Here is a 16667-nt window from a genome sequence, read left to right on the forward strand (position 1 = left end):
TGGAAAAACATTCCATGCTCATGGATGGGAAGAATCAATATCATGAAAATGGCCATACTGCCCAAAGTAAATTATAAATTAAATGCTATCCCCATCAAGCTACCACTGACTTTCTTCACAGAATTAGAAAAAACTACTTTAAATTTCATATGGAACCAAAAAAGAGCCCATATAGCCAAGACAATCCTAAGCAAAAAGAACAAAGCTGGAGGCATCACACTACCTGACTTCAAACTATACTATGAGGCTACAGTAACCAAAACAGCATAGTACTGGTATTAAATCAAATATAGAGGCCAATGGAACAGAACAGATACCGCAGAAATAATGCCACACATCTAAAAACATCTGATCTTTGACTAACCTGACAAAAACAAGCAATGGGGAAAGGATTCTCTGTTTAATAAATGGTGTTGGGAAAACTGGCTAGCTATATGCAGAAAACTGAAACTGGACCCCTTCCTAACATCTTATACAAAAATGAACTCAAGATAGATTACAGATTTAAATGTAAGACCTAAAACCATAAAAACCCTAGTAGAAACCCTAGGTAATACCATTCAAAACATAGGCATGGGAAAAGACCTCATGTCTAAAACACCAAAAGCAATGGCAACAAAAGCCAAAATTGACAAACCGTATCTAATTAAACTAAAGAGCTTCTGCACAGCAAAAGAAACTAGCATGAGTGAACAGGCAACCTATAGAATGGGAGAAAATTTTTGCAATCTATCCAACTGACAAAGGGCTAATATCCGGAATCTACAAGGAACTTAAGCAAATTTAAAAGAAAAAGCAAACAACCCCATCAAAAAGTAGGCAAAGGATATGAACAGTCACTTCTCAAAAGAAGGCATTTATGTGGCCAACAAACATGAAAAAAAGCTCATCATCACTGGTCATTAGAGAAATGCAAATCAAAACCACAGTGAGAGAGTGTAAATTAGTTCAGCCATTATGGAAGACAGTGTGGTGATTTCTCAAGGATCTAGAACCAGAAATATCATTTGAAACAGCAACCTCATTACTGGATATATACTCAAAGGATTATAAATCATTTTACTATAAAGACACATGCACACGTATGTTTATTGAAGCACTATTCACAATAGCAAAGACTAGGAACCAACCCAAATGCCCATCAATGATTAACTGGATAAAGAAAATGTGGCACATATACACCATGGAATACTATGCAGCCATAAAAAAGGATGAGTTCATGTCCTTTGCAGGGACATGAATGAAGCTGGAAACCATGATTCTCATGCAAACTAACACAGGAACAGAAAACCAACACCACATGTTCTCACTCATAAGTGGAAGTTGAACAATGAGAACTCATGGACACAGGGAGGGGAACATCAGACACTGGGGCTTGTTGGGGGATGAGCGGCTAGGGGAGGGATAGCATTAGGAGAAATGCCTAATGTAGATGATGGGTTGATTGGTGCAGCAAACCACTATGGCAAGTGTATACCTACGTAACCTGCACGTTCTGCACATGTATCCCAGAACTTAAAGTATAATAATAATAAAAAAAGAAAACAAAAGGCTTTGGCATTTTTCCTTTAGTACCCTCCCTGTCTTCACAAAGGTCTCGGGTTTGCAGTCAATGTGCCTGTTTCTTGTTCTGAAGTCTGGAGGGCTGGGCCTAGAAAGCAGGAAGGCAGTCATTTGTGATGAAACTGAGAAAGTTGGATGAAACTTCCACATTCTTGCAAATTCACACCTTCTCTGAGTGCTGCACTTAGCCACGTGCTAAGTATTTCAGTGCCTTCTGGGGGCCTGGGAGGCTGGATGAAATTATTGAGTTATGAAGCAATTTTACTTGGAATGAATAGTGAATTTTTTTTCTTGCAACAAAGAGACACCAACGTGTATTTTTGGTTTTTGGTTTTTGTTTTTGTTGTTTTTTTTTCCTTTGCAATTAATTTTAGGAAGTACTTGTGAATGCAATCAAGGTGAGGGTGGACAAAGTCATACTCGGCATTGTCTCAGAGCTGCAGAGCCAAGCAACAGCCTTAATGAACAAAGCCACATGGTCTTGGGGTTGGAGGGAAGGTTTATAACTGACTCAAGGCCTCAGCAATTGTGGGACACTGAGGGCTCACTCAGGCCCAGAGATGTGGGGAACCCTGGAGGCTGGGAGGCTTCCTTGACCCCTGCATAGAAAAACAATGCATCAGGGAGAAAGCCCTTCACTTTTGCTGCTTTATAATGGCCTGATGGAGCTATGTGGACCCTTCAGGTAAATTGGGACACTGGCTATTATAAAAGAGGTGCACAGGCAGTGAGGGGGAGAAGTTAATAATATTAATAATAATTCTGATGATTACTCTGCACGAGGCACTATTTCTATTCCCTATAGCTCTCCTGCAAGATAGACATTACTAGGCCCATTTTTATGTGCAAGGAAATTGAGCCTCAGAGCATTAAGTAACTTGCCCTGGAGCATGTGTCTGGTAGCAGGGCAATCAACTGTCCCAATTTGCTTGGGACTGTCGTGGTTTTAGCACTGAAATTTCTGCATCTCTGGAAACCTTCTATTCTGGGCAAACTAGGACAGTTGGTCACCCTAGAGGAGTCAGGGCCAAGATGACAGCCAGGTCCACCTGGTTCCCAAGACTGTTGCTCAACACCATACCAGCCTCATATGTAAGGCAAAGCTCTTTCCCATAAGGCCGCATGAATAGGAAGCTTCAGAAGAAGAATTTGAACCTAGGACTGTCTTCCTCCAGAGTGGGTATTTTCTTACCAGGCCATCAAGACAGGAGCACCTGACTGTTGATACACAATGGCAGAAGGTTCCAGAATACCTGTAGCCCTGTGGTGCTTCTGTGAACCGATAGGTAGGCCTAGTGGTTATGCCTTTCCAGGGGCACACATATTCCTGGGGGAGAAGCTGGAGTCTTTGCAGCATCTGCATCCTGGCCCTGATTTCAGGCCAGGCCTGGTGGAGAGCAGGGATGTCCTAAAGCTTTGAGGAGTGAAGGAGGGAGGAGACTGCACACAAGTTTGCTTTCATTTAAAGAGCAACACCAGGCTGGGCACGGTGGCTCAGCAAAATGCTGTAATCCCAGCACTTTGGGAGGCCAAGGCGGGTGGATCACCTGAGGTCAGGAGTTTGAGACCAGCCTGGCCAACATGGTGAAACCCCATCTCTACTAAAAACAAAAATAAAAAAATTGGCCGAGCATGGTGGTGGGTGCCTGTCATCCCAGCTACTTGGGAGGCTGAGGCAGGAAAATCCCTTGAACCCGGGAGGCAGAGGTTGCAGTGAGTTGAGATCGCACCACTGCACTCCAGCCTGGGGTGACAGAGCAAGACAATAAATAAATAAACAAACAAAGAGCAACACCAATGTTCAACTGCTCAATAATCGGCAGACACAAATACAGATATAAAATAAAGACCAATTTTAGTTGAGGTGTCACTTCTCTTTGTCTCTCTGTCTTTCTCGCTCTCTCTCTCTCTTTCTCTCTCTCTACATACAATGTGTATAAATAATATATAACATATTCTGTCACCATATTTATATGCTCACAAAAGTTTTTCAAGCTGTTTCTCCTTCCTTGAAGCTGTTTTGAATTTATGAGCAACTAGAGTAGAAAACTTATTCTTCATTGTGGCTGGCATTAAACATCACATTTAGCTCCTTGTCCTAATTATCCCTAGATTTGTTTCTATGTTTTGCTACTCCCCGGAATCCCTGTCTTTCCAACCTCCCTGGTTCCAGGACCCCTGGGTCCTCATTCCTTGTAGGTAGAAAAGATCCCAGATGGAAAGATGTGCCAGCCGAGTCTATTTCAAGTGACTTTGCACCTTGGCTGTTGGCACACTGCTGGTGTGTTCTGATATCTGTTCTCCCCTCTTTCTACGGTAATAAAAGCCTGACGTTTTGGCTGAGCACACAGCCACCCCTGAAGTAAAGACTACATTTAGCAGCATTCTTTGCAGCCAACTGTGGCTCTTTGACTAAGTTTTGGCCAAAGGATATGAGTGTGACTTATACAAGCTCTGAGTTATGCCCTTAAAGGGAAGCCTTATACCCTCTCCAGCACCATTTCTTCTCTTCCTGCTAGTTGGAATACAAATGTGTTGGTGAACTCTTTGGGAGAATTTCTTCATTTATTTAACTGGGATAATCTTGAATAAAAAAGCAAACAAAGAAAAAAGACTCCATGGTGAATAACCAGCAGAAATAAAAGACAATAGAAATAGACCTACAAAGATGTCAGATATTCGAATTATCAGAGGCTGACCACAAAACAACATCATAGAGATGGCAGAACAACATCCTGGGAGAAGCTTGGGTTCCTGATACCTTGGGGGCTGCCTGGCTAGCCTGCATATGTAAGGGAGAAGTCAGTGTCTAACTTGGGCTTCTGCTATGGTAACTGACACCATGTCCGAGTAGCATACTGCTTCTCTGTAGCAGCTAATTTCATTCCTGAGTCATTGTCTTCCAATCGTTATGTTAGTATATGCTATCTTTTGGATATGGCTTATTTGGCCCTGCCAAGTCTCATGTTGGAATTTGATCCCCAGTGTTGAAAGTGGGGTCTTGTGGGAGGTGTTTGGGTTGTGGGGGTAGATCCCTCATGAATGGCTTGGTGCCATTCTTGTGGGAGTAAGTGAGTTTTCATTCTTAATTCTTGCAAGAGCTGGTTGTTGAAAAGAGCCTAGTACCTCTTTCCATCTCTCTCTCAGCTACCCCTTCACCATGTGATCTCTGCATACCAGCTACCTTTTGCCTTCTGACATGAACGGAAGAAGCCTGCAGCCCTCACCAGAAGCAGATGCTGATGCCATGCTTCTTGTACAGCCGGCAGAACTGTGAGTCAAATAAGCCTCTTTTCTTTATAAATTACCCAGCTTTGGGTATTCCTTTGCAGCAACACAAGTGGACTAATAATAATATATTTATTAGCAGAGTCATTTTCAGAAATAGCTTAAGCTGACACCAAACAAAATCTTCAACTTCTAGGGCTTTTTAAATCATAATTTTGGTGAGAACCTGACCACTCTTTTTTTAAATGATGGCAATTGCAAGGGTCCAGAAAGATCTAGAATTGGTTGGAATTGGTAGAAAAAGAGGAGATGAAGATGGTGGAGGTGAAGGATAAGGCATGATAGCATCTAACCTTTATTGAGTGATAACTCTGCCCCAACACTATGCTAAACACTTTACGTATATACTCCTGTGAGTTATGCACTATTACAACTTCCACCTTGTAAGTGAGGAAACTGAGGCTTACTGTGCCCAGTCACACTGGTTTCCCTGCAGGTTCTCTCTAACAGTGTGCTTTGTCCTATGATCATCACTTTGCATATGCTAGTCCCTCTGTCCTGAATACCCTTCCTACCTCAGGTTGCCAGATACACAAACAAAACTCAATGAATAAACAAAAACAGGAGGTGCAGTTACATGTGAATATCAGATAAACAATGAGTAAGATTTTATTATAAACACATCTCATGCAATATAATAATGTTATGCTAAACATTATTTGTTGTCTATTTAAAATTCAAATGTAACTGGGTGCCTGGGCAGCCCCATTTCTTTTTCTTTTTATTATTTATTTATTTATTTTTAGGCAGAGTCTCGCTCTGTCACCAGGCTGCAGTACAGTGATGCAATCTCGGCTCACTGCAACCTCTGACTCCCTGGTTCAAGCAATTCTCCTGCCTCAGCCTCCCAAGTAGCTGGGATTACAGGCACACGCCACCACACCCAGCTACTTTTTGTATTTTTAATAGAGACCGGGTTTCGCCATGTTGGCCAGGATGGTCTTGATCTCCTGACCTCGTGATCCGCCCGCCTTGGCCTCCCAAAGTGTTGGGATTACAGGCGTGAGCCACCACGCCCAGCCTTGGGCAGCCCCATTTTTATCCCAACCCTCTTCCTTTTTTTTTTTTTTTTTTTTTTTTTGAGGGACTCTTGCTCTGTTGCCCAGCCTGGAGTGCAATGGTGTGATCTAGGTTCACTGCAACCTCTGCCTCCTGGGTTCAGGTAACTCTCATGTCTCAGCCTCCCAAGTAGCTGTGACTACAGGTGTGCACCACCAGGCCCAGCTAATTTTTTTGTATTTTTAGTAGAGATGGGGTTTCACCATGTTGGCCGGGCTGGTTTCAAACTCCTGACTTCAGGTGATCCGCCCACCTCGGACTCCCAAAGTGCTGGGATTACAGGCGTGGACCACCATGCCCAGTCCCAACCCTCTTACTTTACCTGGATATTTCCTGCCTACCCTTCCAATCTCAGCTTGAGTGCAACTTCCTTAGGGAAGCTTTCCCTGACTCATAGCCCAGAAGGGGCCCCTTTCATATAGCTTCTCCGGGACTATGCATCATGCCCTCACAGGCCTTACCTCCATTAGACTGTTTGATTAACACGCTCTCCCTCAAGTGGACTGCAATGACCTTGATGGCAAGGTGCGCACCTGCTTTTGCTCACCACTGCATGTCTCCCCCGCTCCTCGCACATGCCTGGCACATAGCAGGAACATGATAAAAAGAATTGTGAAATGAAATAAAGGGCGGTGGAGTAACTGGCCTAAGACAACCCACTTAGCAAGTAGGAGAATTAGGAGTCAATGCTAAGAAGCAAAGGCAAGAGATGTTTGAAAGGAAAACATCCCTCCTTAGCATGGCCTCTCAGGCCTGCTACCTGCCTCCATAGCCCCTCTTAAGGAAGGCAGCTCCGTGGGTTAGTCACGGGCCCTGGAGCAAGACTGCCCTAGATGGAACCCAGGCTCAGCCGCTGAGAATCTGGATGGTCATGGGCTAGCCACCTCACCTCCCTGGGTCTCAGCTTCTCTGTCTGTAAAATGGTGACCAAAACTTCTGGCAGGGCTTTTGGAAGGATTAACCGAGTCAAGACCTATGAAGCCATAGAACAGTGCCTGGCACCTCCTATGTGCCCAGTAAATGTGAGCAACTGTGGTGCCACCTCCACCTCGCTCACTGAGTTCCAGCTGGGCTTGCAGAGTGCTTTCAGACCCCAGGGCCTTTGCATGTGCTATTTCCTCTGCCGCTGAAGCACTTCTCATCTTTTTTTTTCCTGGTCAGCAAATTCTCATTCTTGAAGGGCCTTTCTTCGGCCGGGTGTGGTGGCTCACGCTTGTAATCCCAGCACTTTGGGAGCCCGAGGCGGGTGGATCATGAGGTCAGGAGTTTGAGATGAGCCTGGCCAACATGGTGAAACCCATCTCTAGTAAAAGTATAAAAATTAGCTGGCTGTGGTGGTGTGCACCTGTAATCCCAGCTGCTCAGGAGGCTGAGGCAGAATTGCTTGAACCCAGGAGGCGGAGGTTGCAGTGAGCCAAGATCACGCCACTGCACTCCAGCCTGGGTGAGAGAACAAGGCTCTGTCTGAAAACAATAACAACAACAGAACCTTTCTTCTTCCCACCCACTGAAGTTTCATACTCTTTCCCTCGCCATCCTGTTTCACTGGAGCCCTGTGTGCAGTATGTAATGAAACGAATATTTGGTGTGTATTTGTATAGGGTCTGTTTTCTTCTACCAAACTAAGTTCTACAAGGACCTCTCCTGATTTGCTCCCCACAACATCCACAGTGGCCAGCATAGCACGAGTCATACAGTAGGCACTCATGGTGAACTAATACACAGTGACAAAACCTGCAGGACCTGGTGGCTGTTGGCATGGAGTAGGGAGAAGAGAGGACAAGGAGGGTCCTGAGAAGTGGGGAACAGCTTTGCCTTTAATGGAAGCAGGGCATGGGGAGGTCCCTGGATGCCATTCAGCTCAGTAAATGTTTATTGAGTGTCTGCTAGTTTTTCTACTTCTTTCCCATCAGTTAATCATACAAGCTAGCTCAGAACATGGAAAACATCTCATGGGCCAAATAACGCAGATGAAAGCTCTATGACCTTGGAAGCTACTCCCATAGCAGCTGCCTTGAGATCTCTATGTGTATCTAGGCACAGATGGAAATAAGAATCATAATTGATGCCAGGAATTGCCAATTTAAAAATATAAATGATATACAATGATTTTTAAAAATCCCATAAGATACATATATTTTCCATTTTGCAGAAATGATAACTCAGTCTTAGAGGCAACAAGAGATTTGTCCAAAATCACAGAAAGTAGCAGGACTGTTGAGATTTTACCCCTTGTCCACCTGGCTCTAAAGCCTGTGCTGTTGCCCCATTTACCCTGCAGCCTCTGAAAAGCTGAACCTTGACATGATTGGTCTGTCTGCCATTCCCAGCTTAGCTCGATACAACAGGAGCCAGAGGTCTCATGGTTCAAGCACTCAGTACTGACTAAGCACACCCTCTAGGACCTTGGGGAGCAAGGGGAGCAAATTCAGCAGTCATTATTCTGATTTGCTATTCTTTCATTGATTCTTCCATCTTTTGATTTACTGATTAATGTATTCATTCATTCATTCTACAAAATGAATTGCACAGGCAGACATGTAAATAGGAAATTGTAGCAAGATGTGATTACCTGGGAGTGGCAGTGTTGGAGCAGATTGGCCCTTGTGCTACCAAGGTTCCTAGGATTGGAGGACCAGACAAGTTCTTGAATCTCTAGGACGGGGTGCAGAAATGGAAATCCACTGGAGACATCAAGCATGGCAGCTCCTGTCGGATCCCCGGGAAGGCCAAGCACGTCTCATCTCTTGTTATTCCTCATGTCCTTGCTGCCTTAATCAAAAACAATCGCAGTATGTGTGACTTAAAACGAATGGCCAAGAGGGATAATTCAAAACAGGCATGTCTAGAACTAAGCACCCCACTGGATGGGAATCAAGTGATTATGTGAACAAAGAGAAGGTATCAAGTCAGAGGCCATCTGTTCATTCACAGGCACTCCTCAAGGACTCAGTGCCAGGGCCAGGGCCTCATGGGGCCTACAGTCTAGGGGGCAGAAGAACAATGAACAATGACCATGCAGCAAGCCATGTGCTGGAAGGAGAGATAAACGCAGAGCTGTGAGCCTGGCGGTCTGTGTCTGTAACTGTCCATCTCACCTCTTTCCACACTCAGGACCTGGAGGCCAGAGCATGCCTCTTCGTCGTGTCTGTCTCCCCAGGCAAGGCTGCCAGAGTGCAAAATGAAAATGGCGGGCCCCTTTTTCAAAAAGGAGAAAAGATGTTGACATAGATGTGTTGAAGAGGGATCACTTTTACACCGCTGGTAGGAATGTAAATTAATTCAACCACCATGGAAAACAGGGTGGAGATTCCCAAAAGAACTAAAAGTAGAACTACCATTCAATCCAGAAATCCCATTACTGGGTATCTACGCAAAGGAAAAGAAGTCATTATATTGAAAAATACACTCGCACAAGCATGTTTATAGCAGCACAATTCACAATTGCAAAGATATGGAACCAACCTAAGTGCTCATTGACCAACGAGTGGATAAAGAAAATGTAGTATATATGCACCATGGAATACTACTCAGCCAAAAAATTGAACAAAATAATGTCTTTTGCAGCAATTTGGACAGAGCTCGAGGCCTTTCTAAGTGAAGTAACTCAGGAATGGAAAGCCAAATATCATATATTCTCACCAATAAGTAGGAGCTAAGCTAAGAGGACACAAAGGCGTAAGAGTGATCAGGGACCCTGACGAAGTAGGGAGTAGGGTGAGGGATAAAAACTACATATTAGGTACAGTGTAACTGCTCAGGTGACAGGTGCACTAAAATCTCAGAATCACCACTTAAAAACTTATCCACGTAGCCCAAAACCACCAGTATCCCAAAAAATATTGAAAAATAAAGTTACTGAAATATAAAGCATCTTTTCTTTTGTGGTTTTCTTCTTGCCCTGTGATTCTTTAAATTTACTATTAAACTGCAATCATGGCAGGGTGCAGTGGCTGGCTCATGCCTGTAATCCCAGCACTTTGGGAAGCTGAGGTGGGCAGATCCCCCACGGTCAGGAGTTCGAGACCAGTCTGACCAACACGATGAAATCCCATCTCTACTAAAAATTAGCCAGGCTTGGTGGTGGGCGCCTGTGATCCTAGCTACTCAGAAAGCTGAGGCAGAAGAGTCACTTGAACCCAGGAGGTAGAGGTTGCAGTGAGCTGAGATCATGCCATTGCACTCCAGCCTGGGCAATAGAGCGAGACTCCATCTCAAAAAAACAAAAACAAACAAAAAAACCCTGCAATCTAAGTTAAAATAAAACTAAAAATCCTTAGCATGAATTTTATCACTTATCTTCAAACTGTGTGATGCCAGTCTTCCATGCAAATATGAGCTCATCGATCTCTTATATAGAATCTCAGGAATTACACTTTCCTATCCTATCTTGTAGCTCCTCTGGGCACATGTATTTCATTCTTACCTGAACACTGGAAACGAGGCACAAAACAAACTCATCGGTTTTGGCTGCACCTCTGACACACACACATTCTACCGATGCTCTCTATCTGCGCCTTCCTGCTGAGTAAGGAAGGACTGGACAAAAAGGGAATTCTGTCCTGCCCTGTCTTTCTTTCAATGCCATCATCTCCAGTGTTGGTGACTGGTTAATTCAGAGACGCAACATCAGTACAAAAGGATCGGACAAAGTCCCTCTGTCATTCATGTTTCTTTGAACATCATGGTCCTCTTTCTGCATTTTGACCCAAGTTCAGGTTGCAACAAAAAGCATGGGCTCAGGGGCAGTTGGAGCCCCTGTTACCGAGATGGAGAGGCCTCATGCTTGCGGTATAGTTGCTCTGGGTCACGCTGAACTCTCATGAATCATTGATCCATCAGAATTCTGGACCAGCTGAGTGCTTCATGGAAATGGGGTGGCAGGGAATGGCGGGTACACTGGACACATGCTGTGGTATTTCCTCTGCTCGTGTGCAGGCGCTATTGTCCCATCAGACTTTACTCACAAAACACAAGTTCAAAGACAAAGCCGTTAAGAATTTCAAGACTGTGATAGCAAAACATTAAACCAAGCATGAGGCCCAAGGTCTTGGTAAACTTTTGCTGATGAATGAAAACTTTCCCCAAGGTGATCGTATTTGACTTAGGATCAATTGGTCAAATAGAAGTCTTCTAGGCAGGGAAGGGGGTAAGATAGGCCTAAGTGGAGGCAGGAGAAAGTATACCATGATGGGAAATTGTGGTCAAATTGGCATGGCTGACGGGTCTCGTGCCAGGAAGGGAGGGGCACTTACGAGGCTGAATAGGAAAGCTGGAGCCAGACTGGAGCCATTTTTGTCTTCTAAACTAAGGACACTGGAACTCTACTCACTGACAATGGGAAACAAGTGAAGATGCCTTCAGGTCTTGGGTTCAGAAAGAGGACTCCATTGCAGGGGAAGCCGGATTAGAGGAACTGGCAATGAGACTGATGCAAACTGTCAAAGCCCAGGGCCATGTGGGCTGGACCTGGGTAGTGCTTCAGGACTGGCAAGAGGGGTCCGTTTGAGGGAGAATTCAGAGAGACAACGAAGAGAGGGGGTGAGCAGCCTGCAGGAGGCAGAGAGGCAGGTGGGAGCTGAGGGCAATCCATGGCTTGCTTTCCCATTTGGTCAGCTGTGTTTTCTAACTTCTGAACTCAAGAGCTTGGAGACACTACAGGGTTGAGAGACCTCTGAAAATTCCCTTTGGATCCCACTGCCTGCAATTTCTTCCATTTACTGTTTTCTTCTGCTTAGGATGAGAGCATTTAAGCAAGGGAAGGAAAACATTGTGCAGGGCATGCTATTTTTTAGAAAGCCCATGGCACAAATAAAAAATATAATATTTCAAGGCTTCGTTTGTTTGCAAGGAAGAGACCGTGTCTACCTATAGGTTCTGGACAGCACCCCAAACCCCACTGGCCTCTGTAAACACTCTTGGATGGTAAATAATAGTAGCACCAGTGTTAAATCTATTCATTAGGGTCTTGGCATGAGCATACTATGATTTCAGAAGTCCCTCTTGAATTCTAGGAAACAGAACTTACTGCTTGGGGTTTCTATGCAGAGTTATTGCTGGAGAAAGGTGGAAGAGCGTGTTTGTGCCAACGGAAACTTGTTATTTTTATTTACTTATTAGGTCATGAGCATCATCCATACCTTACACTTGCAACATAAATTCTCTCATGCTATATAACTATATAGCATGAGAGTGAGATTTTCCTCACACTCCTAGGTTGGAGCCTGGGCCCCCCTCTTATATGAGAAAACAGGGGCTCCCGGAGGCTAGTGACTTGCCTAGCATCATACAGTTGGAAAACACTAGAACTTTCTCTCAGTACTTCATGGTCCAAGTTTCCACTAGACCAGTGTTTCATTTTTCCATGAAAGCACTCCTGTTAAAGAGTGAGGCCGTCCTAAGGGTTCTGGGAGAAAAGTTTACAGTGGGTTCCTCTAACAAGAAAAATGTGATAAAAATCTAATACTTGATCTTCATTCATGCATACCTTCCATCTTGCTGTATACTACACCAAGTGTGTTTTTAACATAGAAATAGTGCTTTGAATGACTTATCAGTAGGATAAATGCTTAAGAACACATGTCACATATATCTTGTTCTTAGCCACTAGGTAAGTCCTCGTACTACTCAATCTCACACTGAGGTGAACTGCTCCATACTGTAGCTGCCACTGAGCCCTAAAAACAGGATGAGAAGATATATATTACCCACAATAACACTACCTAACCAACAAACCCAGAATCTCAGCAGCACACAACAATCAGCATTTAGTTAGCTCAGAGGTCAGCTGGAGGGTGACTGATCTTGGCCCATGCTCAGCCAGGCTCCCCTGGGGCAGCCCAGCTCAGGCCCCACAGACCTCTCATCCTCCTCCAGAGACCAAGGCTCTAACCCAGGTGTGCTTTTCTCATGTCAATGGTACAAAAACCCAACCACCCAAACACATCCCGGCCACTGGTGATGTCACACCTGTTAGCATTCCACTGACCAAAGCAAGCTATGTGGCTGAACTCCAAGTCAATGGGTGGGGAAATAGTCTTGTTTTTTTTGTTTTTTTTTTGTTTTGTTTTTGTTTTTTTTAAGAGATAAAACTGAAATAATCATATGGCAAAGAGTGTGATACAGGGAGGGGTGAGGATTTGGGGCTATTAATGAAATCTTCCATAATCGTGAGATAACTGGCCAGGTTATTATGTGACAGTCCTACTGACTTGTGTCAGGGACCTAAATTTTAATGGCAGCTCAGCTACTTTTTAGCTATGTGAACTTCGACAAGATCTTTTCTCTCTCTGAGCCTTATTTTTCTTCTCTGTATAGTAGGAGAAATAGCTCCTTTTTAATAGAGGTCTTACCAGGATACAGTAAATGATTTGATGGAAAAGCATATTATGAGAAAGCACTGTGAAGACATTCTTACTATTACCCCACGTCATAGGTTTCTTGAGTTGCTATACTTAGCTCCAAATAACTTCTGATGCTAAAATTAATCAAATCCAGGCTATCGGCTGCTTTAGAACAGGGATATCATTATCAAAAGTAATGAAAGCAACAACCACAGCATCCATGATAAAATAACAATAGGAATACAGTTGGCCCTCTGTATCCATGGGGGATTGGGTCCAGGACCCCCGAGGACATCAAAATCCATGGATGCTCAAATATCTTCTAATCAGCTCTCAGTACCCATGGGTCCCATGTGGACACTGAGGGCTGGCTTTACCATCGTATTTACAATTGCACTTCCTAGTGGTATCTCAAACACTAAGATGTAGTACTTATTCCAATGAATATTTGCTGAGTGAATGAATGAATGAATGAATGAATGAATTGGCAACAACAGTGATACATTTGAAAAACATTTCTCTGGTTTTAAAAGTGGTTTCCAAAGGGGAACTCTAGAAAAATATCTAGGTGAGGCGCCCTGGGAAGCCAGAGTTTTACCTGCTTTGAGGAGTAATTACTCATCTCTATAGATAGATTGTAAATGTTTTCTTCAAAAATCCCTAGCAGGCTTGCAGAGCCACGCTCAGTGTTTGTCTTTTCTCTTCAGCCAAATAAAACAGTTCTTCAAGCCAAAAGTTCTTATCTTTATTCTCTGTGGCACAGTCTAGCCCCTAAACTTTGATAATTGGGGGAAAGAGAAATTGGCATATTATTGACGACCACAGATGTGTCCAGCATTTTCAAATGTCAATTCCTTGGTTCTCACAAACTCAGAGGGAAGCATTAGAATCCACAATTTACAGATGGGGCTCTGAGCTCAGCAATATTGTGGAATTTGAACCCAGGGAACAGTTCAGGTTGGTTCTGGCTTTTTCCCTGGCCCACGATGGCACTAAATACTTGCTATTTGATTGCTTTATCAGTTAACTGAAGCTACTATTAAGGCAATAGCAATTTGGCATGGAACAAAATGATATAATACCTCTCAGTACCCCAGCTCTCAGGGCAACATCCTGAACCCCACCAGGCTCAACGAATGTTGATTCTGACAATGGTGATGGCTTCTAGAACCGAATTATCTTTTTATCAAACCCAGGATTTTCAAATCGGCCAAGCACAACCAGAAATTTCTAGGATTCTTCTGGGTTTGAAAACATCACTGTTGTCCAAGCCCCTCATTTTCCAGTTGAGAAGACTAAGCTCCAAAAATAAGTGACTTCTTAGGGTCACACAGCTAGTTAGTGGCAGAGCTTGAGTTTGTTGGAAAGTTCTCTCTCTCTCTCTCTCTCTCTCTCTCACACACACACACACACACACACACACACACACACACACAGCCAGGCTGAGGCAGGGGTTGTGGGGTGGGGGTGTGATACTACCAGCTTTTTACCATGAGGGACCAGGCCACAAGCAATGCTTCTCATCACCCCCTGCCTTTCAGAGTGGGGTTGAGAAACTGGTGGAGGCTGAAGGCCTCTGCACCCTGGAGGCCAGGGGAGTCTGTGGACAATGAACACATTTGAACGGCAGCCTCTCAGCCCGTACATTTGTGCAGTGCTCCCTGGGACTGATTTCCCCCGCCGGCCCTTTATTAAAAGCATGACTGAGCTTCAGAAGCAGCCTGGCTGGCAGAGGAGACTTGTGAAAGAGCAGTGGCACGGTGGATTGTGAGCTGTCAAAACAGGAAACAGATTCGCAATGGTGGTTTCAGGCTGGTTGACTCCGTGTGCGAGGGAACCAGCCCGTGACGTGAAGGTCTGTTTTGGCAGGCTGTGGGCAGCTGAGGCATTTCTATCACATGGGTTGGGGACTTCAAATGGTCCAGCAGCTGCCCCTTTTTGCCTCTCGGAGTGAATGGCTGGGTAGAACTGATTCTGCACAAAGACCAGCTCTGCTTCCTGAGAGAAAGAGCTCTGCCCTGTGCCCTGTGCAGAGTTTCAACACTCACCTGCTGTGTGATCTTGACACATTACTTAGTCTCTCTGTGCCTCAGCCTCCTCCTCTTTCAGATGGGGGCAAGAGTAGTGGAGAGTAAATGAAATGCGTAATTAAATGGTTCATCCTCTAATATTATGGATATTAAGTAATTTCAGAGCAATGCAAACAGAGGCACTCAGCACAGGTTGGTTAATGCTCTTGACTATCCCTGACCCTGTACCTTCTGATGCAGGCCAATGAGAGGGAGTTTTGGCTACTTCAACTCTGCCTGGGGTCATCAACCCAAAGTTTTTGGACCTGAGCATTTATCCCTAAAATTAACATCAACTGCTCATTGAGCAGCTCCAGTTTACCTGGCATTGTTTTTGTCCCTTGTACATAGCATCTCATTTAATTGAAACAACAAATCTGTGCACTAATCATACAATAAAACTAGCCAGTGAGCATTATTTGAACATTTGAGGTGGACTTTTAAGCACTTTGCATGTATTAACTCTATTAATTAGGTTTTAGGTCTTATTTCCCCCATTTTGCTCATAGAGAAACTTGCAGCTTAGATAGCTGAACTGAACAGACCAGGTCTGGGCACTGCAGATCATGGGGAGACTTAATTTCCTCTGGATAAAACCTCTCTCTCTCTCTCTGTCTCTCTCTCTTTCTCATACACCCCCCCACACACATACACACACCGTCACACATGTGTGCAACTGTGCATGGAAATAGCATTATTGGAATGGTAGGGAAGGGGTTCCATGGGCTATCCAGGTGGCCTGCCTTGGCCTGTAAGCTCACCTCCCTGGAGCCCAGTGTAGGGTGGAAGTGGCTGGGGGCCGGGAGGATGAGCTAAAGAGGCCCATGAGCAGCAGAGGCAGGGGCTGTGCCATAGCAGGGCAGGCAGGAGGCTGGAGGACAGTTGAAAGAGATGGTGTATTAGTCCATCTTCACACTGCTGAAAAAGACATACCCGAGACTGGGTAATTTATAAAGAAAAAGAGGTTTAATGGACTCACAGTTCCATGTGGCTGGAGAGGCCTCACAGTCATGGCCGAAGGCAAAAGGCATGTCTTACATGGTGGCAGGCAAGAGAAAATTGAGAGAACCAAGTGAAAAGGGCAACCGCTCATAAAATCATCAGATCTTGGGACTTATTCACTACCACAAGAACGGTGTGGGGGGAACCACCCCCATGATTCAATTATCTTTCACTGGGTCCCCCCCACAACACATGGGAATTATGAGAGCTACAATTCAAGATGAGATTTGGGTGGGGACACAGCCAAACCGTATCAGATGGGATGGGGGCTGGATGTCATGCTGGGTCCTGGCTTGCCAGTTTTTCTGGCATCAGGAGGATCTACAGGGGAGTCTAGATTTTC

General features: G+C 44.5%; 1 long non-coding RNA gene across 1 annotated transcript in view; it reads left to right on the forward strand.

Moving 5' to 3' along the window:
* The window catches only part of LOC101928306 (uncharacterized), a 67864-nt gene that overhangs the window by 8302 nt on the left and 42895 nt on the right, over positions 1 to 16667 (forward strand). Inside the window, exon 2 of the long non-coding RNA NR_125893.1 lies at positions 4711 to 4836. This is a non-coding gene — a long non-coding RNA (uncharacterized LOC101928306). The remainder of the gene's footprint in view (positions 1 to 4710; positions 4837 to 16667) is intronic.

The sequence above is a fragment of the Homo sapiens genome, chromosome 4 (assembly GCF_000001405.40).
Source record: "Homo sapiens chromosome 4, GRCh38.p14 Primary Assembly".
Taxonomy (NCBI): domain Eukaryota; kingdom Metazoa; phylum Chordata; class Mammalia; order Primates; family Hominidae; genus Homo; species Homo sapiens.